The sequence below is a fragment of the Homo sapiens genome, chromosome 14 (genome assembly GCF_000001405.40).
Source record: "Homo sapiens chromosome 14, GRCh38.p14 Primary Assembly".
Lineage (NCBI taxonomy): Eukaryota > Metazoa > Chordata > Mammalia > Primates > Hominidae > Homo > Homo sapiens.
The window spans coordinates 24,421,232-24,442,894 of NC_000014.9; the positions used below are offsets into that span (position 1 = coordinate 24,421,232).

Below are 21,663 nucleotides of genomic sequence, written 5' to 3' on the forward strand. Positions count from 1 at the left end.
TGCTTTCCTAGCAAGTATTTACTAAGTCCATGTGTTCATGAATGAAAGTGAACATACCTGGAAGACAAAAGCTTTGTAACAGGTAAATGGCTACAACAAATAAAAAATCCTACCTGCTTTTAAAAGACTGTCCAAGAATCCCTGGGACAGGTCCAATTTTTAACTTGTTTACTAAGTCATCTGATAACAGTAACTTACATATACTGAGTACTTGCTCTGTGTTGGGTACTGTTCTAAGTGCTTTCCAACCCTGTGGGGTGCATACAATTAGTATCTCCATTTTATAGGTGGAAGAAAATGAGGCACGGAGAGGTGAAGTAACTCACTGAAAGTCATGTACAACCACTGAGAGGCTGGATTTGAGCACTGACTCCTGTGCTCACCTTCTTTTCTTTTCTTTTTTCTTTTCTTTTTGTCTTTTCTTTTCTTTTTTTTTTTTTTTTGCAACAGAGTTTTGCTCTTGTTGCCCAGGCTGGAGTGCAGTGGCACGATCTCGGCTCACTGCAACTTCCGCCTCCCGGGTTCCAGGGAGTCTCATGCCTCAGCCTCCTGAGTAGCTGGGATTACAGGCGTCTGCCACCACGCCTGGCTAATTTTTGTACTTTTAGTAGAGACAGGGTTTCACCACGTTGGCCAGGCTGGTCTCGAACTCCTGACCTCAGGTGATCCACCTGCCTCGGTCTCCCAAAGTGCTGGGATTACAGGCATGAGCCACCGTGCCCAGCCTCTGTGCTCACCATCTTAACCACCATACTACTGCTTCTGACACAAGTGCATTCATTTTGTTGTTAGAATTAGTCTCCCCTCGCTTAATCTGTGGTCTCTCCATCTGTTATTAATGCACTACATAGAGTCCGCTAAGATGTCTCCATTAAAGTTTGGTCCTCAGTAAGATGATTCACAAACTAAAATGGATTTACCTCCGTTGGGTCCAAGAACTATTCTCTTGGTCCTGATAAGTTTTGACTGAAATGCTGTACTCTCTTTTTCCAAAGAGTGCCATTTCCCCTCAGCTAATAAGTGGTGATATTTCTTAGGTCTGTACATTCTTGCAGATGGTGAAAAATGAAGTAGTGGAGATTCTGGGAGCTGAATTGTGAGGGATCTCGAAAACCATGTTAAGAAATATGGATTTCATTCTGAGGCCCACCTGGAGCCCCCAGAGGGCCTTAGGCAGTGAAGTTTATTTACACAGATCACTAAGGCTACCGCAGTCTGGAGAATTGAAGGGAAACCACAGGACCAGTTAGGAAACCACAGGACCAGTTAGGAGGCTTTCATAGAAATCTAGCTAAAAGATTGTTAGTTTGAGCCAGGGCAGACGGAAAGAAACGAATGGAACTGATGGATGTGAATGACTAGATATGAGGGTTATGGGAGAGGGAAGAATTAAGGATAATGGCCATTTTTGGTTTGGGCAACAGGGAAGTTCCGTTTACAGATATAGAGAACAAGGGCGAGAGAACAGATTTAGGGAGGAAAGACTATAATTTCAGGTTTTAGCGTGTAGACTTGAAAGTGGAATATTCAATGTATGAGTCTGAGTTTCAGAAAGGGCGATCCTGGATAGAGATAACATTGTCAGCATATGGATGGTCATTTGTGCCTTTGAGAGTGTCTTAGGACCAAAGAATGCTAGGGCAGAACCTTGATGAAAATCAGCACTTAAGAGATGCAGGGCACAGGCAGAGAGGTGGAGGAAAACCAGGGAGCGTACAGTCAGGGAAGTCGGGGCAGAGTGCTTCTAGAAGGAGGGTATAGTCAGCAGGGTCAAATGTTAGAGACAGACTGAGTGACAGGAGGACTAGGAAGTGTTCACCAGCTTCAGTAACACGGAAGTTATGAGCCATGGCTGAGGGCAGTTCAGGTGGAGCAGTGGAGGCCATAGTTCACCGGTGATTACGAGGTGTGCAAATCGAGAGTGTAGACATTTGTACTACAATATTTTGCTTTAAGGAGGAGATGAGCTGACGCCAACTACCTGCAGGAATAGATAGAGCTGAGGATAACTATACCTATATCTACAACTACTTCCATGCCTATCTTCTCTTAGATTTAAGAGACTTGAGCTCCTAAACTTTAAGAGCTGCTGAAGGGAAGGAGTGAGTAGAAAGGAGAGTGACAGATGACAGGATGTCTGGAGGAAACTGGATCCAAGACTGGTGGATGAGGATAGCAGCCTTGACAGGAGGAGGAACTCGTCTCCCACCGAGACAGGCAGGAGGAAGCAGAGATGGGGAGGAAGGTGAGTTTGTAAGTGTGGTGGTGGGCAGGGTCCTGCTTGGAGTTTCTGTGTTCTCAGTGAGGTGGAAGGTGAGGCTGTCTGCCGCTGACCATGGGCCATGGGAGCAGAACTGGTGGGGCAAAAGGCTTAAGGAGGGAACAGAAGCTGGCAGTGGATTCTGGGGAAGATGAGGGGCAGCTGGCAAAGGAAACCAGTGAAGAGTTAGAGGATTGAGGATTATAGGATTGAGGACCAGATGTGGCTGGAGGCCATGGATTTAGATCCACATTGAATCCTTCATCAGTGGGACTTCTCTGTAGGAATCAGCTGCCAGGGCATGGGCATAGGGAAGGTGAATAGTTGGAGTCTGTTGTTAGGATCCTTAAAGTCTGAGGAGCTTTTGGTACCTGGAGAGGACCACACACCATCACCTGTGCTTTATTTATTGTTTAATCTATTCACAAACCTACTGAAGGAAAAATTGTCTAAATATTTGAACACGATTTCTATAACCAGCAAATCAAAATCTATACATTTAACAAGTTAAATGATTTAAACGTTGATTAAAAACAATCAAATCCTCCTAAATATTTCAACTGAATCACTAATATGTCAGTTTCTCTAAAAGCTTCATTTTGGTAAGGGACACATACCATTATAAGGATTATAAAGTTTATAACACCTATGCTTAAATCCACTATAAAAATGGGTGGTAGACCTGAGAGACATTATCTCAGCTCAGGGCAATTTTTGAATTTAGATATCTAAAATAAAAATATATCTCAATGTAGATCAAGTTTTGGATTATTAATCAATGAATTTTTGGTTGGGACCTGGGAATTGGTTCACCTTCTAAAATGATTAAAATCTGAGCTGGTATTTATCTTGTATATATCATGGGAAATTTTCAAGCCCATACGTTTTCCATGCAGTGGTATTGTAGCTGCATGCCTTTTCTCTACATGATGCCATCTTTGAGTTTAGTGACTCTGATATGCAGATGTCCTGAAGATGTCCATGCCTTAATCCCTGGAACCTGTGAATATGTTATGTTACATGGCAAAACGAACTTCAAATATGCAATTCAGGTTGTGGACCTTAAAATAGGGAGATTATCCTGGCTTATCTGGGTGGGCCTAATCACACGAGTCCCTAAACTCAGAGAACTTTCTACACTGAAGTCAGAGAGATGTGGTAGAAAGGTAGGCCTGAGAGATTTAAAGTGTGAGAAGGACTTGGCTTGCAGTTGTTGGCTTGAGAATGGAGGGGGCTAGGACCTAAGTCCTACAACCGTAAGGAACTGAACTTTAAATGAGTTTAGAAGTGGATTCTTCCCCTCCAGTAAGGAAGGCTGCCCTGCTTATACTTTGCTTTTGATCTTGTGAAACCCTGAGCAGAGAAGCCAGTCACGTTTTGTTGGACTTCTGACCCACAGAAACTGTGAGGTAATAAACAGTTGTTTTAAGCCACCAAGTTGGTAGTACTTTGTGGCCAGATGTGGTAGCTCACACCTGTAATCAGATCACGTGAGGCCAGGAGTTTGATACCAGCCTGGACAACATGGCGAAACCCCATCTTTACTAAAAATACAAAAAATTAGCTGGGTGTGGTGGCTCGCACCTGTAATCCCAGCTACTCGGGAGGCTGAGGCATGAGCATTGCTTGAACCCAGGAGGTGGAGGTTGCAGTGAGCTGAAATTGCACCACTGCACTCCGGCCTGGTCGACAGAGCATGACTCTGCCTCAAAAAACAACAATAAAAAACAACTTCTAGTTGTCTTCCCCAATAGCTAATTTCCCCTTCTTCCTTGTTATAAAACTCCCAACTTCTGGCTGGACATGGCTGCCTGGAATAAACACTGTAGCTCCTAGCCAAGCTCCCTGGCTTGGTGAGCCCGGGTGACTAAATTCTACTGAGACACAATCAGAAATATTGGTGCATATTTCAGAAAGCTTCTTTCAAGGAAAGAGATGTGTTGTTTCTTCCTTCCTCCTTCCTGTTAGGCTGATGTAATGTCTGGAGCTCAGGGAGCCGTCTTGGGTCATGAGGTGGCAAGCTAAGGATGGTAGAACAAGACAGAAGACTGGGCTTTCAAATGATCATAAGGCTGCCATCCATCCCTGGACTCTTATTTACAGATTTTTCTATGTGAGACAAAAATGATTTCCTATTTTGTTTAAGCTATTCTTATTTTGGGTTTTACTGTTACAGCCAAACCTACTCTTAATCATTTTGCCTAATTAATATCTCATTATAATTAGTGGGGTAATACAGAGGATCCATTTTCTAGGAGATGAACGATCAAGCCTGAGCAGTGAACAGTTGTCTTTTGGACATCTGACTAATCCATTGTCTTATAACACGCCATTGGACTGTTTTTCTTCTTAGTTGCAAAATATACTCAAATAGTTCCACCAGTATCTTTCATTCTTGGCACAGTGCCAGATCTTCTTGGAATTATTCACAGTTCTCTGTACTCACCCCTCCCTACTTACATAGATAAAGAAAAACAAATGTACCTTGCAAATAGACAAAATGCCTACTATATTTATGTTCTTGTACTTATCACGACTCACTAAAAATAGCCTATATTCACTCTTCTTCACTCAGCATATTAACTACTTTTTGTCACACTTTATAGTGACTTCTTCCTTTTTGAATATCATTGCAGGTACATGGATTTAAAAAATTCACCTTGTTCCAATTAACTGTATTATTTTCCTTTTGATAATCAAATTGTCAAAGCATGTCAAGTGGGAGCTTCTTTAAATTGATTCCTTTGCCTTTTCAGCTTTACTTTATACATTTAAAAAGTATCTTTGCTTTCTGTCATCAACAACATGTTCTGGGCCTGGAGTTACTTAAGGTGTGCAGCTATTCTCCAAGGAACCTGAGGGTTTTTGGTATTTTTTTTTAATGGTGACTAATATCTGAAGCAAAGATCCAGTTTCTAAGAATGGATATCAGATTGTTCCTGATGTTGTTTTTAGGATTAGTGACAGTTCAAAAAGTTATTTCTTTTCAAAACCACAAATTCACCTTGGTATTTCCTATTTAACTCAAACATTATTCAACTTTTAAAATGTAATTTTAGTATACAGTTTGATATTTATTTTCCTCTGCAACATACCTACTTGTACCTGTAACACCCGATCCAAACTCCAGAGGCATCTTCTCCTTAGTAATTCTATAGTGTCTCACTGACCACCATTCTCTAGTTGTTTTATTGATAGATTCATCCAGGCTGGGCCAATGGGACAGCGGGATAAGAAAGAGAGAGGGAGGGTTTAGCATACTGGCAGGAGAGGGTCTGAAGGAATGAATCATGGAATCCCAGGTAATAGGAAGCCTAAGGAGGAGAATAAGACAGCACAGATCAGGAGAAAGAGAGATAGTGGGGATATGCTGGAACAGGTACAGTGAAGATAACTCAGTGAGAGAGCTGGGAGGAAGGAGGCAGCAGTCAGAGTGTGGAGGGACTAAAGTTCAAACTTCAAAGGTGGAGCAGTTTCAGGAGGTGGCCAAGCAAGAGGATGCATGGTTATCGATGTTTTCCATGGTCCACTTCCAGCTCTGTATACCTGCTCTCAGCTCTGCTCTCAGCCAGAGCAAACACACTCACCCTAATCTCAGGTGGGGAGGTAAGGGCCAGAGTCCATCTGGGATCCAGCATAGAAGGACAGCCAGGATTGCTACCTGCTGGCTGCTCTGCTATACATGCAGAATGTGTACCATGTTCAGTCTAGACAATACACCCTCCTTCCTTCCTCACCAGCCACAGACTCCAGGCCCTTCCCACCCTTCTGCCTGTGGCTGAGCCTCCCACCCTAGCCCATACGGTGCTGGTTCAGCTTCTGACGGTGCTGGCTGAGATCCGTGATGCTGGCTTTCCTCACAGGAAGAAGCCTGCAGGGTACGCTGAGGCTTGTCCATCTGGGCTCCTGTGGGGGCCTGTCAGGCTCACCTGCGCCACCTGTCCCTGATCAGCATTGAGCAGGAAGCTGGGGTGGGGGAACCGGAGGAGCAGAGGCCGCAAAGTAGTGCAGATCTTCCTTCTTGCCAAACCTTGCCCTGATCCTAGGGCTGCAGGCAGGAACAGATGCAGCAGGTGGCTGGGAGGGTAACTGGGGGTGGGTGGGTGGAAAGGCCTGGTCTGGAGATGCCACAGCTCTACTCTTCTCTTAAACTTGGGTGTTTGGCACAGGGTCCCATGCAAAGAGGTGGGATAGGAGCCAGAGGGAGTCTCTCTCCTGCCTCTGCTGTTTCTGGGGCAAGAGAGGGCAGAAGAAAGTTGTCAGGGGCTGGATTCTTGTGCTTGAAAGACTTGGGTCCTCAGAGAGGGAAGATGAGGAAGCCAGAGAAACTTGAGTATTTCCAACCACCCAGTAGATTCCCCCGACGCAGGCGCAGAGACACTCGGTCCCCAGGGTCCAAGGGCAGTAGCACAGAGCTGGTGGCTGCCTCCCGGGTCACGTCAGGATCATTGGCAAAGGCTGAGATGACAGGCCACGTGTTCAGCATCAGGCTCACCTGGGGAGGGGAGCCCAGTTAGCCCCCATTCCCCAGCCCTTAGCTCAGGACCCCCCACTTTCCCAGGAGCTTCCTCTTGGGAAGCTGGGTTTTAATGGGCTCTCCCGGGAGGGCTGAGGGGCGGCCAGCATTGGACTCTGCACATCCTCCACACTCAATGCAAGGCAGGCCCATTCCTCCCCTGGTCCTGGCCTCCAGGACACAGGTCAATGGAGAGTCCACCCGGAGGTCAGCTGGGCTCCCCTTCTTCCCCCTCCCCACCCTCCTGAGCCGGGGATGGGGGCCAGTGCTGAGGTCACCTGGACAGTTTGGCGGTTGTACACCTTCACCACATGGAACCGGAAGCTGTAGACACCCCGGACAGGGGCTACGAAGGAGCCAGAGGCCCGGTCAAAGCCACCGCCCTCGTTCACCAGGACCTGGGGGAAGCAGAGCCTGCTGAGTGGGGCTCAGGAAATGCCCATGGCTCAGGGGTACCATGGGGACTAGGGGCAGGGGCAGTGAGTAATGAATAGAAGGAGTGGCAAGTAGGAGTGAATAGGAGTGAACAGATTCAAAAGAAATGGTGAGAAGGGGCAAGGAGAGGGCTGCGTATGGGTGGAGGGAGGGGAAACCGTCGGTGGGGTGGTGGGGCAATAGGCCAGATTAGTGAAAGATGTAGGAAGCTGTTTTCTTAAAGCCTCAGAGACAGCAAAGTGGGCTTGGACAGTTGCTTCCAGGTCCTTGCAGGGTCTTTCCAGGTCCCCTGGACAGGGGTAGGGGGATTACCTGGTCGAAGTAGATGGCCCCACTGGTGCCATTGCCGGTTTCCCCTGCTGGCTCATGGTGGTGGCTTCGGACCGCAGCAAATGCCACTCGCCCAGGGGGTGCCTCTCCCAGGGCTGCTCCCCCGGGCCCCCCTGCAGCAGCTCGGCCAGGCTCACAGACCACCAGGCACTCCCCCTCCAGCAGGACGGGCTCTGACCCCTCCTGGGCCCACCCGGCCCCCAGGGCCAGAAGCACCAGAACCAAGGGCAGCCCGGGACTGTGTAGGGGACCTGGTAGCCAGTGTGGCTTGGCTCCCAACATGGCTGAGGGGCTCTGCAACCCACAAGTGCCCCGGTCTTCTGCCCCTCTTCTGTTTCCGCTCCTCTCCCTGGATTCTCACCGCCGGCACCCTGATCGTCTGCCCTCTCTAGGCTCGCTGAACCCCCTCTCCATACCTGTGTCCCAGCTCTGTCCTGCCTCCCACTCTTACTCCTGCTGTCACTGCAGTTCCCTCCTCCTTGGCAGAGCATGCAGTGACAGCAGTTGGGCTTTGGGAGAGAAAGGAGGGATGAAGCCGCCTGCCCACTGGACGGGAGGGCTGCAGCCAGAGCTTCAGGGCAGCCCTGCTGGATGGGACAGCACTGAGGGCTGGACCTGGGGGGATGGAGAACATGGTATGTGTGTGTGACGGGTGTGACAGAATGTGTGAGTGTGTGCATATGCCAGAGGCAGCCCCTCAACCCCTTCCTCCTACTCTTCCTCTCTTCAAAATCCCCCACAAATCAACAGCCCTTCTTCGTGGCATCTTTCCGTTTGTTGGAAGAAAGGGGTACTCCACCACGGGTACCCTCCGCCTCCCGCCTCCCGCCTACCCCCTCCGCCACGATTGCTTTGGTGGAAAGTGCTTGGGCCTAGAGCACCAGTGGGCCAGTCACGCTGCCTCTTTGGTCGGCCACATCTTTATTCGCGGGAAACAACTTTCAACGCATGGTTCCCCTTTCCGAGAAGTAACTGCGCAGAATGCGCGAGGACCCTGAGGGCCGGGAGACAGACGGGAGGGCTGGTGAGAAGCGCAAGGGGCGAGCCCTGGAGCCGCCGAGGGGACTAGGCCGAGCGGGCCCGTCGGGGCCTCTGGGCGCGGCGGCGGGGTTGGGAGGAGGGCGCGCAGCCGGGAGGAGCTGGGCTGACTCCGCCCCAGGCCAGGAAGTGACTCAAGAAACAGTTTGCGTGCGATGTGGACAAGAGAGGTCCCCGCTGGGTGAGGAACCCGGGAAGGCCCGCCCAGATTCGGGCCCCCTGCCCTTGTCCCCTGGGCTGGGGGCGCGGGCAAAGCGGGGGCCTGGCGGGCGCTGAGAGGACCTGAAGCCGGCGCGGGCGGCGGAGGCGGTAGGCGCGCCCCTCCACCGCGCCCGGGAGCGGGGAGCGGGGGCCGCGGTGCGGAGTAGGCCCGGCCCGGGGTGGCTGCCCCAGTCCGCGGTGGGCGGGCCCGGCCCGGCCCGGCCCCTGGGCCCTGGGCGGTGCTCCTGGCCCGACGGAGAGGGGCAGCGGACGGCTGGGGGAGGGGTGGGAGTGGCTTGAACCTTGGAAATGGCAGACCAGGGCCCCCAGAGGACAGCCTAGTTCAATCCCCTGCTGAGGATTCGTCCTTAAGAAGCTTCAGAGTGCCCCAGGAGACTCCTTCTGGCCTCCAGGCCGAGCTGGAGCCCCCCCACCCTTCTTGCTCCGGACTGTGGTCATCCTTTTCCAAAGCCCAGACGCCCACTCTCGATAGACAGCCTTGTTTACCGGGACTTCCTCTCCGGAGAGGCCTGCGTGACATACACCCTCCCTACCTCCAGTGGACTCAGATGCTTGTCACCTCCTGGGGCTGTTTACCAGAGCCTTAACTAGGTGCGACCTGTTGATAGCTGGTGTAGTCCCAGGAACCAGGATTTGGATGGAGGGTACAATGAGGCTCTGAGCTGCCTTCTCCCCTTCCAGGGCTGGGGGCAGCAGCCATGCCTACCTGGGGGGCCCGCCCCGCGTCCCCAGATCGCTTTGCGGTGTCTGCGGAGGCTGAGAACAAGGTTCGGGAACAGCAGCCCCATGTGGAGCGCATCTTCAGCGTGGGGGTGAGCGTCCTTCCGAAGGACTGTCCGGACAACCCCCACATCTGGCTGCAGCTGGAGGGCCCCAAGGAAAACGCCAGCAGAGCCAAGGTGAACGCCTTCTCTCCCCCATCCCTCCAGGCACCAAGGACGCTTTCCCCCAGGGCGGAGGAGAGCAGGGCCGAGGAGAGCAGGGAAGAGGAGGGGCCTGGGGAGGATCTCCACTTCTTGGTTGTCTCACTGGCAACCTCAGTGCCCCTGAGTTTTGAGGGACTTTCCAACTCTATATTTGTTTTCAGTTTCAGCTTAATTTCTTCTGTGATGGCCCAGGCTGGCAAAAATCATTCTGTGCTCTTTGGGAGAATAGAGATATCTGGCTGAACAAGTTGGCCCCACCAAGGAATGCACTGTGGGGTGGGAGGCTGGGCCACATTGCTTCCTTTGGGATTAGGCTGGGGTTCCAGGATGGCTCAATCATGTACCAGCTTTGTGATGGGAGTCTCAGTTTCCTTATCTCTAAAATGGGAATAACATCATGTGGATACTCCAGACATCCTGGAGCTCAGGAGCGAGCAAGGAGCCAGGAGGGGTGATCTGGGCCAGTTAGTTTACTTTTCCTGACCTTCCCTTCCTCCCAACCAGGAGTACCTGAAGGGCCTCTGCAGCCCAGAACTGCAGGATGAAATCCACTACCCGCCCAAACTGCACTGCATCTTTCTGGGAGCCCAGGGCTTCTTCCTTGACTGCCTGGCCTGGAGCACGTCAGCCCATCTGGTGCCCAGGGCGCCAGGCTCACTGATGATCAGTGGCCTGACTGAAGCCTTTGTCATGGCTCAGAGCCGGGTAGAAGAGCTGGCAGAGCGGCTGAGCTGGGACTTCACGCCAGGACCATCTTCCGGAGCCTCTCAGTGTACTGGAGTGCTGAGAGACTTCTCTGCCCTGCTGCAGTCCCCGGGGGATGCCCATAGAGAGGCTCTGTTGCAGTTGCCCCTGGCTGTCCAGGAGGAGCTGCTGAGTCTGGTGCAGGAGGCGTCTAGTGGGCAGGGGCCAGGAGCACTGGCTTCTTGGGAGGGGCGGAGCTCAGCCTTGCTGGGTGCTCAGTGCCAAGGAGTGAGAGCTCCCCCTAGTGACGGCAGGGAGTCCCTGGACACTGGATCTATGGGACCCGGAGATTGCAGGGGAGCAAGGGGAGACACTTACGCTGTGGAGAAGGAGGGAGGGAAACAGGGTGGTCCCAGGGAGATGGATTGGGGGTGGAAGGAGTTGCCTGGGGAAGAGGCGTGGGAGAGAGAAGTGGCCCTCAGGCCACAGTCAGTGGGTGGAGGGGCAAGGGAGTCAGCACCCCTGAAAGGGAAGGCCCTGGGGAAGGAGGAGATAGCTCTGGGAGGAGGAGGGTTCTGTGTCCACCGTGAGCCTCCCGGTGCCCATGGCTCCTGTCACAGGGCAGCTCAGTCCCGAGGAGCCTCCCTCCTCCAGCGGCTCCACAATGGGAATGCCTCTCCTCCGAGGGTGCCCAGCCCTCCACCTGCACCGGAACCCCCATGGCACTGTGGAGACCGGGGTGACTGCGGAGACCGGGGAGACGTGGGGGACAGGGGAGACAAGCAGCAGGGCATGGCACGGGGTCGGGGGCCTCAATGGAAACGAGGCGCCCGAGGGGGCAACTTGGTGACTGGCACACAGCGTTTCAAGGAGGCCCTGCAGGATCCTTTCACCCTGTGCCTTGCCAATGTGCCTGGCCAGCCAGACCTCCGCCATATTGTCATTGACGGCAGCAACGTGGCCATGGTGTGAGTACCTGGTGGGGCTAAGGGCCTAGGAGAGGGAGGATATGTCCTGAGGGGCTGGCATTGTAGCCAGGGTGCCAAGCCCCTCCTCTGGCCGACCCCCTCCCACTACAGGCATGGCCTCCAGCACTACTTCTCCAGCCGGGGCATTGCCATTGCTGTGCAGTACTTCTGGGACCGTGGTCACCGTGACATAACTGTCTTTGTGCCTCAGTGGCGCTTCAGTAAGGATGCCAAAGTCAGAGGTGAGTTGGGCCTGGTCTTCAGTGTCCCAGGATAGGCTCTGTTTCCACTTTGAGGAGAACCCTATTATGTTCTTTTTCAATAGAGAGTCACTTCCTGCAAAAGCTGTATTCCCTCAGCCTGCTCTCCCTCACACCCTCACGAGTCATGGATGGCAAGAGGATCTCCTCCTATGATGACAGGTACTTGCTCCTCTCCTGGCCCCAGGCTTGATATTGAAGGAGCCCTATGGAAGACTGAGGGAGAGAGAAAAGCTCCTGGTGGTTTACGCTGTTTCTAAGCCTTGGTGGTGGGTAAGGGGCCAGTTATTCCTCTGTGTGCCTTATGATTGGGTAGGTAAACCTGCCCTGCAGGTGTGATGAGATGAACTGTAGACAACCATGTTTGTCTATTCATCATTCATCAAACAAAATGATACCTTGTATTTATATAGTGCCTTACTGTCTAGAAAATACTGGTTTAGTGGAAAGGTGGGAAAGCTGGTTACATAAGTAGCTGACAGATGTCTTCTTATAACCTGAATTTCCAAACATGCAGAGAAATTTCCCTAACATTCTGGAAAAACCAGAGTAAAGGTCAAAATAACAAGTAAAATGGAGAAACACAACGCATGAATAATAGGACTGTACAAAACATGGTATAATAGAAAGATCACTGGATTTAGAATTGGAAGATCTGAATTTGAGCCTCAAGTAGCACTACTCATTGACTTTGACTGTGGAACTTTTCTTAGTGAATTAACCTCTTTGTCTCAGGGTCCTCCTCCATTCATTTACCCTCCTTGTGAATATACGAAAAAGATAAGGTATGTGCTTGCCTTGCTCAAGGTGCTAGGCAAGAGTACAGTGACATTCCATCCTAACTTTGCACAGACCTACTCAAGTGTGGCAGCGGGTATATCTCCAATCTACAGTCGTGGAGACAGAGGGTCAGAGTGGTTACCTGTCTTAGCAAAGGGGAATTAGACCTCAAAGCTGCCAGATGGTTTGAATGAAAATACAAGGCACACTTCTACCATAGTCTGCCTAGGTGGTGTGAGAAATGAGCAGATTTTAGAAAGCCAAGTTAAAAAATTTACAAGTTCTTTATTCTCTAGGACATTATACAGTTTTTAAAAATTAGTTTTTCCAAACCATAGTGATTATATACTTTGTCTTTTCAAACACTTACCTTCTATTCCTTAACAAGCAAATGGTATTCTACAAAAAAGCAGTTTACGTTCTCCCAATGTTATTCTATTTATATCTAGATGTCACAGATTACCCAAGATATGGAATCTTCTTTCCACACCTGCATTGAAACAGAATTGAAACTGAAGATTGAGTTCGTTTTAATGAATGTTAAAGGCATGTGTCTGCCCAGTTGTGTGGGACCTGGTTGGCAGATAACATAATATAAATTGGGAATTCGCCCAGTAACAGTGAATAAGCACAGTGGTACACAGCGTAGGCATACGGAATGAATGTTGCTGAACAACATACTGTGTAATGCGATCATAGTAAAATATGCTTAACTGGAAAATACCATTTGCATACCATAAGTGTACCATATAATTTTTTTTTGGTTTGTTTTTGAGACGGAGCCTTGCTCTGTCGCCACGCTGGAGTGCAGTGGCACGATCTCGGCTCACTGCAACCTCTGCCTCCCAGGTTCAAGTGATTCCCTTACCTCAGCCTCCCGAGTAGCTGGGACTTCAGGTGCATGCCACCGTGCCCAGCTAACTTTTTGCATTTTAGTAGAGATGGGGTTTCACCATGTTGGCCAGGGTGGTCTTGATTTCCTGACCTCATGATCCGCCCACCTCAGCCTCCCAAAGTGCTGGGATTACAGGCGTGAGCCACCAAGCCCGGCCATAGACATTTGTATGTCATTCCCTTAATTTGTTTCCCAGACAGAAGCTCAGAGCCTGATATCTGTCACACCTAATCCTGACTCCCAGTTCCCCCTATACCACACTATCTTTCAAATACTGACTGCTCACTTAGTACTAGGTGCATGGCCTGCAGGAGGAGGTGGGAACACTGGGAACAAGATCTGATTCTTGACTAGAGAGCCGAAAGAAACCATAAATCAAACACTACAGGAACTCAGAGGGAAAGGAGCCCCATTCTGGCTGGGGTTTTGTGGGAAAGGAGAGATTTGTGAGTTTTTGTGTTGAGAAGACTGGGATGGGTTGGATCTCTGTTTCTAAATCTGTTAAAAAGACCACCACCCATCACTTCATGAGTCCTACCCTGTCTTGTGGAATCAGAATTACTGAATGGAGCCCAGGCATTTTTTAAAAAAGTTCCCTTGGTAATTCTGTTCCTTAGCAAGTCTTGGGAAGTGCCTTCCAGATAGAGGAAATAGTTGGAGAAATATGGAAGTCAGCATAAGACATATGTGGAGAGCAGAGTGTAATCTGATTATTGATTTTAGCTGGAGTTGAGAGTGGGTTAGGGAATATTGGGAGAGATAAGGCTGTAAGGGTGATTTGAGCTGGCCTGTAGAAGGCCTTAGCTGCCAGGCCTGGGTGTGTGGACTTTATTTGGTAAATAAAGGGCAAGTGTGGAAGAGTTTTGTGTAGGTGATAAGCATGCTTTCTTGGGGCAGGGCAGGGGAGACTGGAGGGTGGGTGAGTGGTCAGAGGCGGGGACCCCCTTGTTAGGAGGTTATGCATAATCTCAGTTGCAATATCTGAATTACTGGGGTGGTAATGGTGGGCCTGGGAAGGAAGGGAGCAGAGCACAAGGCTTTTCAAAGGAAAGGCATGTTGGATTTGCAAGGGATTGGTTGGGCAGGGTGGAAGACAGAGCTAGATCTTACTGTTTACTAACGAGGCACAAAGTGTTGGGTGAAGGACTATGGTTGGCAGATAGGATGCTACTGGGAGACCACCTTGGATTCATCTTTGTTTCCTCTCTAGGCCATGGCACTTGCATCTAGTCAGTTGCCTGTAGCTGGGTCAAGGTGAGGTAGGGGGCCAGATCTCCATCACCAGAAGTGGCCTATGGGAGACAGTAAAACTTCTGGGGTTGGGGCCTTGGAGAGTCCCAAATGGTTGCTGTGGTTTTTACTTTTATTTTTGTAGATTTGGGGGATACCAATACAGTTTTGCTACATAGATATATTGCATAGTGGTGAAGTCTAGGCTTTTAATGTAACCATGATCCAAACAGTGAACATTGTACCCAGTAGGTAATTTTTCAACCCTCTCTCGGTTGCTGTGGTTTTGGAGACAGGTTCATGGTGAAGCTGGCTGAAGAGACAGATGGGATAATTGTCTCCAATGACCAGTTCCGGGACCTGGCGGAGGAGTCTGAGAAGTGGATGGCAATCATCAGAGAACGGTGAGGGAGCCCTCCCGCTGAGAACTGGGCACAGATGCAGATGTTTTTCTAAAGCCAGCTCTGCTCTGGCCATGGGGTGAAAACTCTGGGAAGGAGGTGAAGTTTTCTTGAAGGATGGAGCCAGCAGCTTCTGGTGATACTGGTCTCGGTTGTCTGGGAGGTGGGCAAGGGCCCCCTCTGTGACCACACATTATCTTTCGCCATCCAGCCTGCTGCCCTTTACCTTTGTGGGAAACCTCTTCATGGTACCTGATGACCCACTGGGGCGAAACGGCCCCACCCTGGATGAATTTCTGAAGAAGCCAGCCAGGTAATCAATCCCCTAGACTACTTACAGGCAGCCCCCACCCCTGGCCCTCTCTCAGCAGGCCCAGAGACTTGGGTGGAAGTGTGACCTCAGTTTGGGCCAGCTTAATTTTGCAGTGGTTTGAGTTGCATTGGCCTTGGCCTTTATAAGCTTCCCAGGGGATCCTGACATAGAACCTCCTTGCTGGGAGGGAAACACCTGCTTCCTGTTTCTCTTAATCAGCATGTTTGATGGAGTTATTTGGAAAATGGTTGCTTATACTGACAGCCAGTTGTATTCAGCATGCCTTCTGCTGACCATTACATAAGTGATTCATTTAGGACTAGAACTAGATCATAATAGTGGCAGAGTTCACCCTGTTTCTAAAAGAACGGCCCATCTTCCCTTCAGAAGTGGGTTGATACTGCCACTCAGTGGTCAGCTTCAGGAACTTCAGGATTTCTCCCCCAAAGCCAGGAATAGGCAGGACAATTACGAGAGGGGTGCCCACTAAGATCTAATTTCCCCCCCAGGATGCTCATCAGCTCTTTTTGGTCTGTTTCTTCCCAGGACACAGGGGTCTTCTAAGGCTCAGCATCCTTCCAGGGGCTTTGCAGAACATGGTAAACAGCAGCAGGGGAGAGAAGAGGAAAAAGGTAGTGGTGGCATTCGGAAGACCCGGGAAACAGAGCGGCTCCGGCGGCAGCTGCTGGAGGTGTTTTGGGGTCAGGATCACAAAGTGGACTTCATCCTGCAGCGGGAGCCATACTGCCGGGACATCAACCAACTGTCTGAGGCCCTGCTCAGTCTTAACTTTTGAGCCTCACCTGCTTGAGTGGCTGCCGCCCTGTCAGCTCCAGCCGCCTCCAGCTCAGCCCTTTCTGTGAGAGTCCCTCTGCTGCTCACTCTGATCCAGAGGCACCCTGAGTTGGTGCTTTGGATCAGGGAAGCCACTTTGGGACAGGTCCATAAAGTGAACTGATCTTACCGAGTCAGGACCTCAGCCAGCTCTCAAGAGGTTCTGCTCAGCCTTAACTTCTCAACTTTGCCTTAGCACAGGGTTTCTGTAGGGAGTGGGGGCTGCTAGAGGGGATTAGTTCCGGAGACTGAGACTGTTGGCTCCACCTCCAAGCTGAGCTAGGGTGGAGGGCAGGGTGGGCAGGAAGTGACAGGAAGTTAAGCTGTTCCTCTCCCTGGCTGCTGCTCTGGATGGCCAGAGAACAAGATGCTCCCTTGCTGAGCTCCTGGGAGCGTGGAAGGAGATGCTAGGCCCTGGCACAGTGTTATGTGGACTGGGCCACGATAGGGTGGAGTGAGCTAGTGAAGAAGGCAGAGGGAGACTTGGCTTCTGGTCTCAGCTATGCCTGTTTTGTGACCTTGATTGAGTTGCTTGGGCTTTACTTCTGCCTACAAATCAGGGGTAAAAATACCTGTTGGGAGGAGAAATGAGAACATAGAGGAAAGCCTCTTGGAGGAAAGGTGCTTGGACCAAGTCTCAGGTGTGTCTGCCTGTGGCTGCACAGGCTCTCTAACCGAAACCTCACTTTCAGAGAGATGTGGGTCCTTTGTCTCCAGGATCCACACCCTAGATTTTAACACTGCATTCTCACTATAACGTGCCCTATAATGGCTGCATCCCTTTTGAGCAACCTCCAAAATCTACATTTACACAGTAGGTAAATTAGGGATGACTGCATTATCAAAATACTCTCAGGGTTCCTATAAATGGCAGCTCTCCTGTTGTATTCAGGTGTTGTTTACAGACTAACAAATGTGTTGGCAAATCCCTGGTTAGATGCACTTCCTGGTGTTGAGATGAACACGTCGATTTTTCACCAATCGATGAAGCCATGCTCTGCAATGACAATATTAATGTGATCCGACCCTAACATTTTCTCTATGGAAGACGTATGTTGCATAAAGCAAGGCACACTTCTGCTTTATGTGTGTGTGTATGGGGATGGGAGGACTTAACGGAAGTTGAACCAGTTGGTTCTAGATGAACCAATTATCTGGAAAATGAAAGAACCAGAGTTGGAAGGCACTTGACTGGCCACCAGACCAACTCTGCTGTTACTGACATGCTTTCTTCACCCTGATTCCTAGAGGTCATTGCCCTGGATCTGCTTGAAGTCCTCCTGTGCCAGGGAATTTACTATCTCCAGGGTAGCACATTCCCTGTGTAGACGGTATTAATCAGTACTCCTTACTTTAGTGCAGCCTAAAGTATGCTTTTCTGTTACATCCACCTTTGAGGCTGGTCATACCTCCAGGAACAATACAGAGCCAGTCAACTTCCTGGAATCCAAGACCAGATAAAGAAGTAGGACAGGTGCCCCTGGGTTCTGTTCTGTGTGGGCCTGTGGGGAGTCTCTAGACAAGATCTTTTCCAGGCCCTGACTTCTGCCTCCCTCTGAGTGGCACAGGGAGTTGAATACTGCATGGCGAGTGTAATGATGATGGGGAGGGTCCTTGTGTCCTCACCCCTTCCTTTTTGGTGATTTACACCACTGTACCATACTGACCCAGGCTGGGGGCAGGTGTGTTGGAGACAGGCTGGTCAAAGAGGTGACAATGATTAAGAGATAACCCAGCGGTCCCTGAGAAGAGATTGGTTAGTATGGCCTGAACTGGTGGCTGGGGGAACTGTGTCTGGTCAAGTTATGGCAGATGTCACAGCTTTAGGTAGGTAAAAAGGGTCCTAGATGAAAACCTTGGAGTTTTTTTTTTTCCTGATAGGGTTGTTTATACTTCTTGATTGGTTTCTTGCCATTTTCACTTTCAGTGATGGTGGGTGTGCAGTAGACCAAAAGTGTCTTCTGCCCTTTTGTGCTAAGGGCCCTGGTTGACTGAGTGGCCCCAGTCAGATGAGAGGCAAGTCCTAAGCTTCTTATAGACAGGGATGTTGACTTTGTTCTGCTGCAGCCTGATAAACTGGGACCACTGTGTGGTTAGTAATGCACTTGCCATTTGGTGACACAGACTGAAGGCTATCCTACACCTGGGCCTTACCTCTTCCTCTACTGGCATCCTAATGGCACTCTGACAGCATCCAGGGTGACTACAGGGCCCATTGGAAATGGATCATCATTCTCTCTTCTAGTGTCTATCTTTATCATAACCTGATGTCCCAAACTTGTGACAAGTTCTTTTGGCAACTGAAGGACCAAGAAGGGAAACGGTGATGAGAGAGACTGCTCATTGTAACTTTCAAAACCCCGTCTTTGGGGAAGAATCATCTAGGGTGACATTCCTTGAAGTAAATCCCAGGAGAATCTAGGCCAAAGAGATGAGCCAAGGTTAGTGAGACAATTTATTTTTATTGCCTAAACTGCAGAGCATTCTCTACACAGCGTAAAGGAGAAGTGGGGCAGCTGCAGGACATGTAGAGAAACCAAACTGGGAAATCTTACAAGGAGTTGAAAAGATTAATGTCCCAACCTGATGAGATTACGGCCTTGAGACAATAAGGTGGAGCAACAGAACAATGGGAAAGAGGACTGGGAGAGGAATCTAAGAACCAGATGGCTTCAGCTCTCTAGAGGAGCTGAGCCTATTCACAGTGCCTAACCTGGAAGCCTGTGAGGAACAGGCCTCAGGCCCTTGCCACGACCTACTTAGGCTACAATTTCCTTTAAGGCAGCCCCTAGCTCTGGGAAGGAATACTGGTAGCCAGTGGCCAGTGTTCGCTGTGGGATCACCTTCTGGCCCTCCAGCAGCATGATGGCACGCTGTCGCCCAAAGACAGCTTGCACCACAGCGCTGGGGAGAGGGATGAAGGCTCGGCGGCCCAGGGCAGCACCCAAGGTCTGGGCAAACTCAGCATTAGTGGCGGAGGATGGAGCCACTCCATTCAGGACCCCGTGCACGTGGTTTGCTTCAAGGGCATGGGTCAGGATTCCTGCCAGGTCCCCGATGTGTATCCAGGGGAAGAATTGGTGGCCTGAGCCGATGGGGCCCCCCAGGCCCAGGCGAAAGGGCAGCAGCATGTGGCCCATGGCACCACCCCCACGGCCCAGCACAACCCCTAGAGCAGGAAAGAGGGAAGGTACAGGGGTCCTCTCAGCCTTGAAGGAGCCCACTGCTCCTCCTGGTTTCTGTTTCCCCTTCCTCACTCTCCCCATGCTGACTTGGCTCTGTAACAGAAGTGAGCAGTATGGCTGTCTTTAAGACCTCACACCTTCTCATCTGCAGGTTGGCTAGAAGTGGTGGCATCCTCTCACTCTGTAATTGTAATCTCAGCTCTCCTAATCCCATCACTTCCCCAGCCCAGAGAAGACATTCCAACCCTGTCTGATACCCAGGCCCGTTTCTCACCTGAGCGCACCACCACCTGGCGTGTAGAATCTCCAGGAAGCCTGGCTGCAGCTTCCCATTTGGTTACGAGGTTGGAGAAAAAGTCAAAGTCCCCTCCTGGGCTGTCTTCATCATACTCCGCAGTCAGACTGGGCTGGTAGTAAGCTGCCGGTGGAACACAATCATTTGCCCTGGGTGTCCTTGGTCCTGCCTGGCTCTCTGTAGTGGAGGCTCCCCTTGGCCTCACCTTCTCTGGCCCTTAGGATCTCCCCATTTGGAGACAGAGCCATTTGGATATTTTCCCCTTGAACTTCTCCATGACCTGAAGCGTTCCTTCCCTGGAGGAACTCTGGTTGCAGGGCTAAACTTAGAGGCTGCTAGAGTGTAGTGGTTAAGAACAGGAACTTGGGTACCAGGCGCCTGAATTTTAATCAGCTCCCTCATTTATTAACTCTCTGACTTGATGCAAGTTACTTAACCTCTCTGTATAGAATTTTCACATCTTTAAAATGGGAATAATAGTACCTACCTCATAGGGTTGTTGTAAGGAATAAATGATAATAAGCATAAAACACTTCAAATAGTGGCTGGTGTGTATAATTGTTTGCAATTACTTGGTCCCAAAGGTGACCAGGAACTCTGTTCCTAAAGAACTATGGTGTGAGAAGTAAGGGACTTTGGGATAGGTGGACTTTTCCCTGGCATTGAGTGATGCCACTCCCCACTGTTTTTTCAGGGTCTCAATTTCTTAGTGAAAGTACACAAAGGTTAGGAGAAACATGCATGGATCAAGGGCCTAGGAAGTCATTTTGCCTGGAAAAGACCAGTGCTCTGGTGTGTGCATAGCTACAGAGGTCTGAGTTACCCCGTTCCCCTGGCGAATATAAGGGGCTGGTGATTTGGGGGGCGTACCTACACCTGTGACTAAGACCCAGGCCTTGGGGGGTTGTGGGGCTTTGGTGATGGCTTTAGCCAGCAATTGGGTGGTCTCTAGGCGGCTGCCGATTACCTCTTTTTGGAAGGTTTCATTCCATCTGCAGGAGAAACATGGGAAATAAAAAGCCACTAAATACATAAGTGCACATATCCCTCTCTCTGTCTTTTCCTGGGAGCTATTTCATACCAATTTCTTGTAAAGCCCTGAATTTCGGCTTAAGAGAAACAGTCAACGTCTCCTGTAGAGGGAAAGGGCATTCATTTCCTGGGCATCCTGAGTTATACGTGAGGACTTAAGCCAATTGGCTGACTGGGTGGAGGAGCAGGTGGGGGTGGAGGAGTGGAGCAGAATGAGTAGTCTGGGATATCGGTTTAGTTCGGAATCTGGGAGCTCCATTACCCATAGCTCACAGGTTCTCATCAGTGGGGCACTGTCCTCCCTGTGCTCTAGTGGGTATCAGCTTTAGGGCCCGGGCTGACCTTCGGAGAGGGTTGAGGATGTTCTCTCCGGCCAGGTTGACGGCGGCATCGCAGCTCGGCAGCCCCGATGCAGCGAGCTCATCCTGTCGGAGAAAGCACACAGTGCCCCTGCCCCGCCCTGCGCCGCCCAACTCTGCCCTCCCACCCGCTTCCAGAGGATGGACTTACCCACGTGATCCGGCCGGGCCCGGGCTTTCGGGAGACCAACGTCACTTCGTGGCCTCTGGCATTCAGCAGCTGGGTTAGGGCTGTCCCAATGAAGCCTGTCCCGCCACCTGATCGGAAAATACAAATTGTTTATATTCCCGTGGAGTTGGGGTGGGGGCGCCTTCCGTCCCCGCTGTGGCACCCTCTTCCGGCGCCATCCCATCTGACACCAGGCTTCTCCCCACTTATCCCCCTCCTCGCGATGCAGAGGTGACACAGGTCACAGGGATTAGGGAGATTCGGCTTCTCGGGCTAGGAGGCCAAGGCCAGGTTGCCTGTGCACTAGACAGTGCCCTCCCGGAAGCGGATTCCCAGTCCTCAATCTCCGACTAAGCCCGCCCAGCACTCTCCCTTTCTGCCCTCCCTCACCCACAAGCACACGCATAGCGACTAGGACCTAACGCGCCTGCGTAAAGTTTAGAGTTTACCTCACCTCAGACGCGACTACGACCTCTCTGCGCATGCCCCTTTCGGGAAGCGCGTTCCAATCGAGGTCGCAATCCTGTGCGT

General features: G+C 50.7%; 3 protein-coding genes across 19 annotated transcripts, besides 6 other annotated features; 1 reads left to right on the forward strand and 2 right to left on the reverse strand.

The window, feature by feature from the left end:
• KHNYN (KH and NYN domain containing) lies at window positions 1,934-20,612 on the forward strand. Of its 8 annotated transcripts, none has more exons than XM_011536590.3 (8): window positions 1,934-2,245; window positions 9,483-9,700; window positions 10,232-11,379; window positions 11,491-11,621; window positions 11,705-11,801; window positions 14,841-14,948; window positions 15,157-15,258; window positions 15,805-20,612. In XM_011536590.3, the coding sequence occupies exons 1-8, from the start codon at window positions 2,134-2,136 to the stop codon at window positions 16,052-16,054; spliced, it is 2,166 nt and encodes a 721-aa protein (XP_011534892.1). In that variant the 5' UTR covers window positions 1,934-2,133; the 3' UTR covers window positions 16,055-20,612. The 8 variants fall into 8 exon arrangements, with proteins under 8 accessions (XP_011534892.1, XP_047287124.1, XP_047287125.1 ...); NM_001290256.2 differs by lacking the exon at window positions 1,934-2,245 and adding an exon at window positions 8,055-8,176; NM_015299.3 differs by lacking the exon at window positions 1,934-2,245 and adding an exon at window positions 8,723-8,888.
• Window positions 5,314-8,437, reverse strand: CBLN3 (cerebellin 3 precursor). Its single transcript, NM_001039771.3, has 3 exons — window positions 7,524-8,437; window positions 7,055-7,174; window positions 5,314-6,755 (listed from the first exon to the last, which is right to left on the reverse strand). The coding sequence occupies exons 1-3, from the start codon at window positions 7,821-7,823 to the stop codon at window positions 6,558-6,560; spliced, it is 618 nt and encodes a 205-aa protein (NP_001034860.1). The 5' UTR covers window positions 7,824-8,437; the 3' UTR covers window positions 5,314-6,557.
• Window positions 8,560-9,099: a silencer, noted in NCBI's record as "silent region_5643". NCBI's record gives its function as "represses an Ori minimal core promoter by ATAC-STARR-seq in GM12878 lymphoblastoid cells {active_cell/tissue: GM12878}" and the evidence as "EXISTENCE:reporter gene assay evidence [ECO:0000049][PMID:35858748]".
• Window positions 9,130-9,309: an enhancer, noted in NCBI's record as "active region_8217". NCBI's record gives its function as "activates an Ori minimal core promoter by ATAC-STARR-seq in GM12878 lymphoblastoid cells {active_cell/tissue: GM12878}" and the evidence as "EXISTENCE:reporter gene assay evidence [ECO:0000049][PMID:35858748]".
• Window positions 9,454-10,017: an enhancer, noted in NCBI's record as "H3K4me1 hESC enhancer chr14:24899891-24900454 (GRCh37/hg19 assembly coordinates)". NCBI's record gives its function as "activates a minimal SCP1, AML or CMV promoter by ChIP-STARR-seq in primed H9 embryonic stem cells {active_cell/tissue: H9 hESC(primed)}" and the evidence as "EXISTENCE:reporter gene assay evidence [ECO:0000049][PMID:30033119]".
• Window positions 9,870-9,979: an enhancer, noted in NCBI's record as "active region_8218". NCBI's record gives its function as "activates an Ori minimal core promoter by ATAC-STARR-seq in GM12878 lymphoblastoid cells {active_cell/tissue: GM12878}" and the evidence as "EXISTENCE:reporter gene assay evidence [ECO:0000049][PMID:35858748]".
• Window positions 10,018-10,579: an enhancer, noted in NCBI's record as "H3K4me1 hESC enhancer chr14:24900455-24901016 (GRCh37/hg19 assembly coordinates)". NCBI's record gives its function as "activates a minimal SCP1, AML or CMV promoter by ChIP-STARR-seq in primed H9 embryonic stem cells {active_cell/tissue: H9 hESC(primed)}" and the evidence as "EXISTENCE:reporter gene assay evidence [ECO:0000049][PMID:30033119]".
• Window positions 10,580-11,141: an enhancer, noted in NCBI's record as "H3K4me1 hESC enhancer chr14:24901017-24901578 (GRCh37/hg19 assembly coordinates)". NCBI's record gives its function as "activates a minimal SCP1, AML or CMV promoter by ChIP-STARR-seq in primed H9 embryonic stem cells {active_cell/tissue: H9 hESC(primed)}" and the evidence as "EXISTENCE:reporter gene assay evidence [ECO:0000049][PMID:30033119]".
• SDR39U1 (short chain dehydrogenase/reductase family 39U member 1) lies at window positions 18,535-21,612 on the reverse strand. 10 transcript variants are annotated; one of them, NM_001387323.1, is made up of 7 exons: window positions 21,523-21,545; window positions 21,115-21,221; window positions 20,947-21,029; window positions 20,540-20,564; window positions 19,778-19,907; window positions 19,552-19,695; window positions 18,535-19,261 (listed from the first exon to the last, which is right to left on the reverse strand). In NM_001387323.1, exons 1-7 carry the CDS (start codon window positions 21,536-21,538, stop codon window positions 18,852-18,854), a joined length of 915 nt encoding a protein of 304 aa, NP_001374252.1. In that variant the 5' UTR covers window positions 21,539-21,545; the 3' UTR covers window positions 18,535-18,851. The 10 variants fall into 10 exon arrangements, with proteins under 10 accessions (NP_001374252.1, NP_001374253.1, NP_001374255.1 ...); NM_001387324.1 differs by lacking the exon at window positions 19,778-19,907 and having other exon boundaries at window positions 20,449-20,564; NM_001387326.1 differs by lacking the exon at window positions 19,778-19,907 and having other exon boundaries at window positions 18,535-19,135; window positions 20,443-20,564.

What these genes read in the sequence shown, in the direction of transcription:
- KHNYN (XM_011536590.3), top strand. Translation starts at nt 2,134, where the DNA reads ATGTCTGGAGGAAACTGGATCCAAGACTGGTGGATGAGGATAGCAGCC. An exon ending in TAAGGATGCCAAAGTCAGAG is followed by an intron (nt 11,622 to 11,704) that starts GTGAGTTGGGCC and finishes CTTTTTCAATAG; the next exon opens with AGAGTCACTTCCTGCAAAAG. An exon ending in ATGGCAATCATCAGAGAACG is followed by an intron (nt 14,949 to 15,156) that starts GTGAGGGAGCCC and finishes TTCGCCATCCAG; the next exon opens with CCTGCTGCCCTTTACCTTTG.
- CBLN3 (NM_001039771.3), bottom strand. Translation starts at nt 7,823, where the DNA reads ATGTTGGGAGCCAAGCCACACTGGCTACCAGGTCCCCTACACAGTCCC. An exon ending in GGGCCATCTACTTCGACCAG is followed by an intron (nt 7,175 to 7,523) that starts GTAATCCCCCTA and finishes TGCTTCCCCCAG; the next exon opens with GTCCTGGTGAACGAGGGCGG. An exon ending in ACAACCGCCAAACTGTCCAG is followed by an intron (nt 6,756 to 7,054) that starts GTGACCTCAGCA and finishes TCCCCTCCCCAG; the next exon opens with GTGAGCCTGATGCTGAACAC.
- SDR39U1 (NM_001387322.1), bottom strand. An exon ending in GGCCCGGCCGGATCACGTGG is followed by an intron (nt 21,030 to 21,114) that starts GTAAGTCCATCC and finishes TTTCTCCGACAG; the next exon opens with GATGAGCTCGCTGCATCGGG. An exon ending in CCAGGTGGTGGTGCGCTCAG is followed by an intron (nt 19,262 to 19,551) that starts GTGAGAAACGGG and finishes TTCCTGCTCTAG; the next exon opens with GGGTTGTGCTGGGCCGTGGG.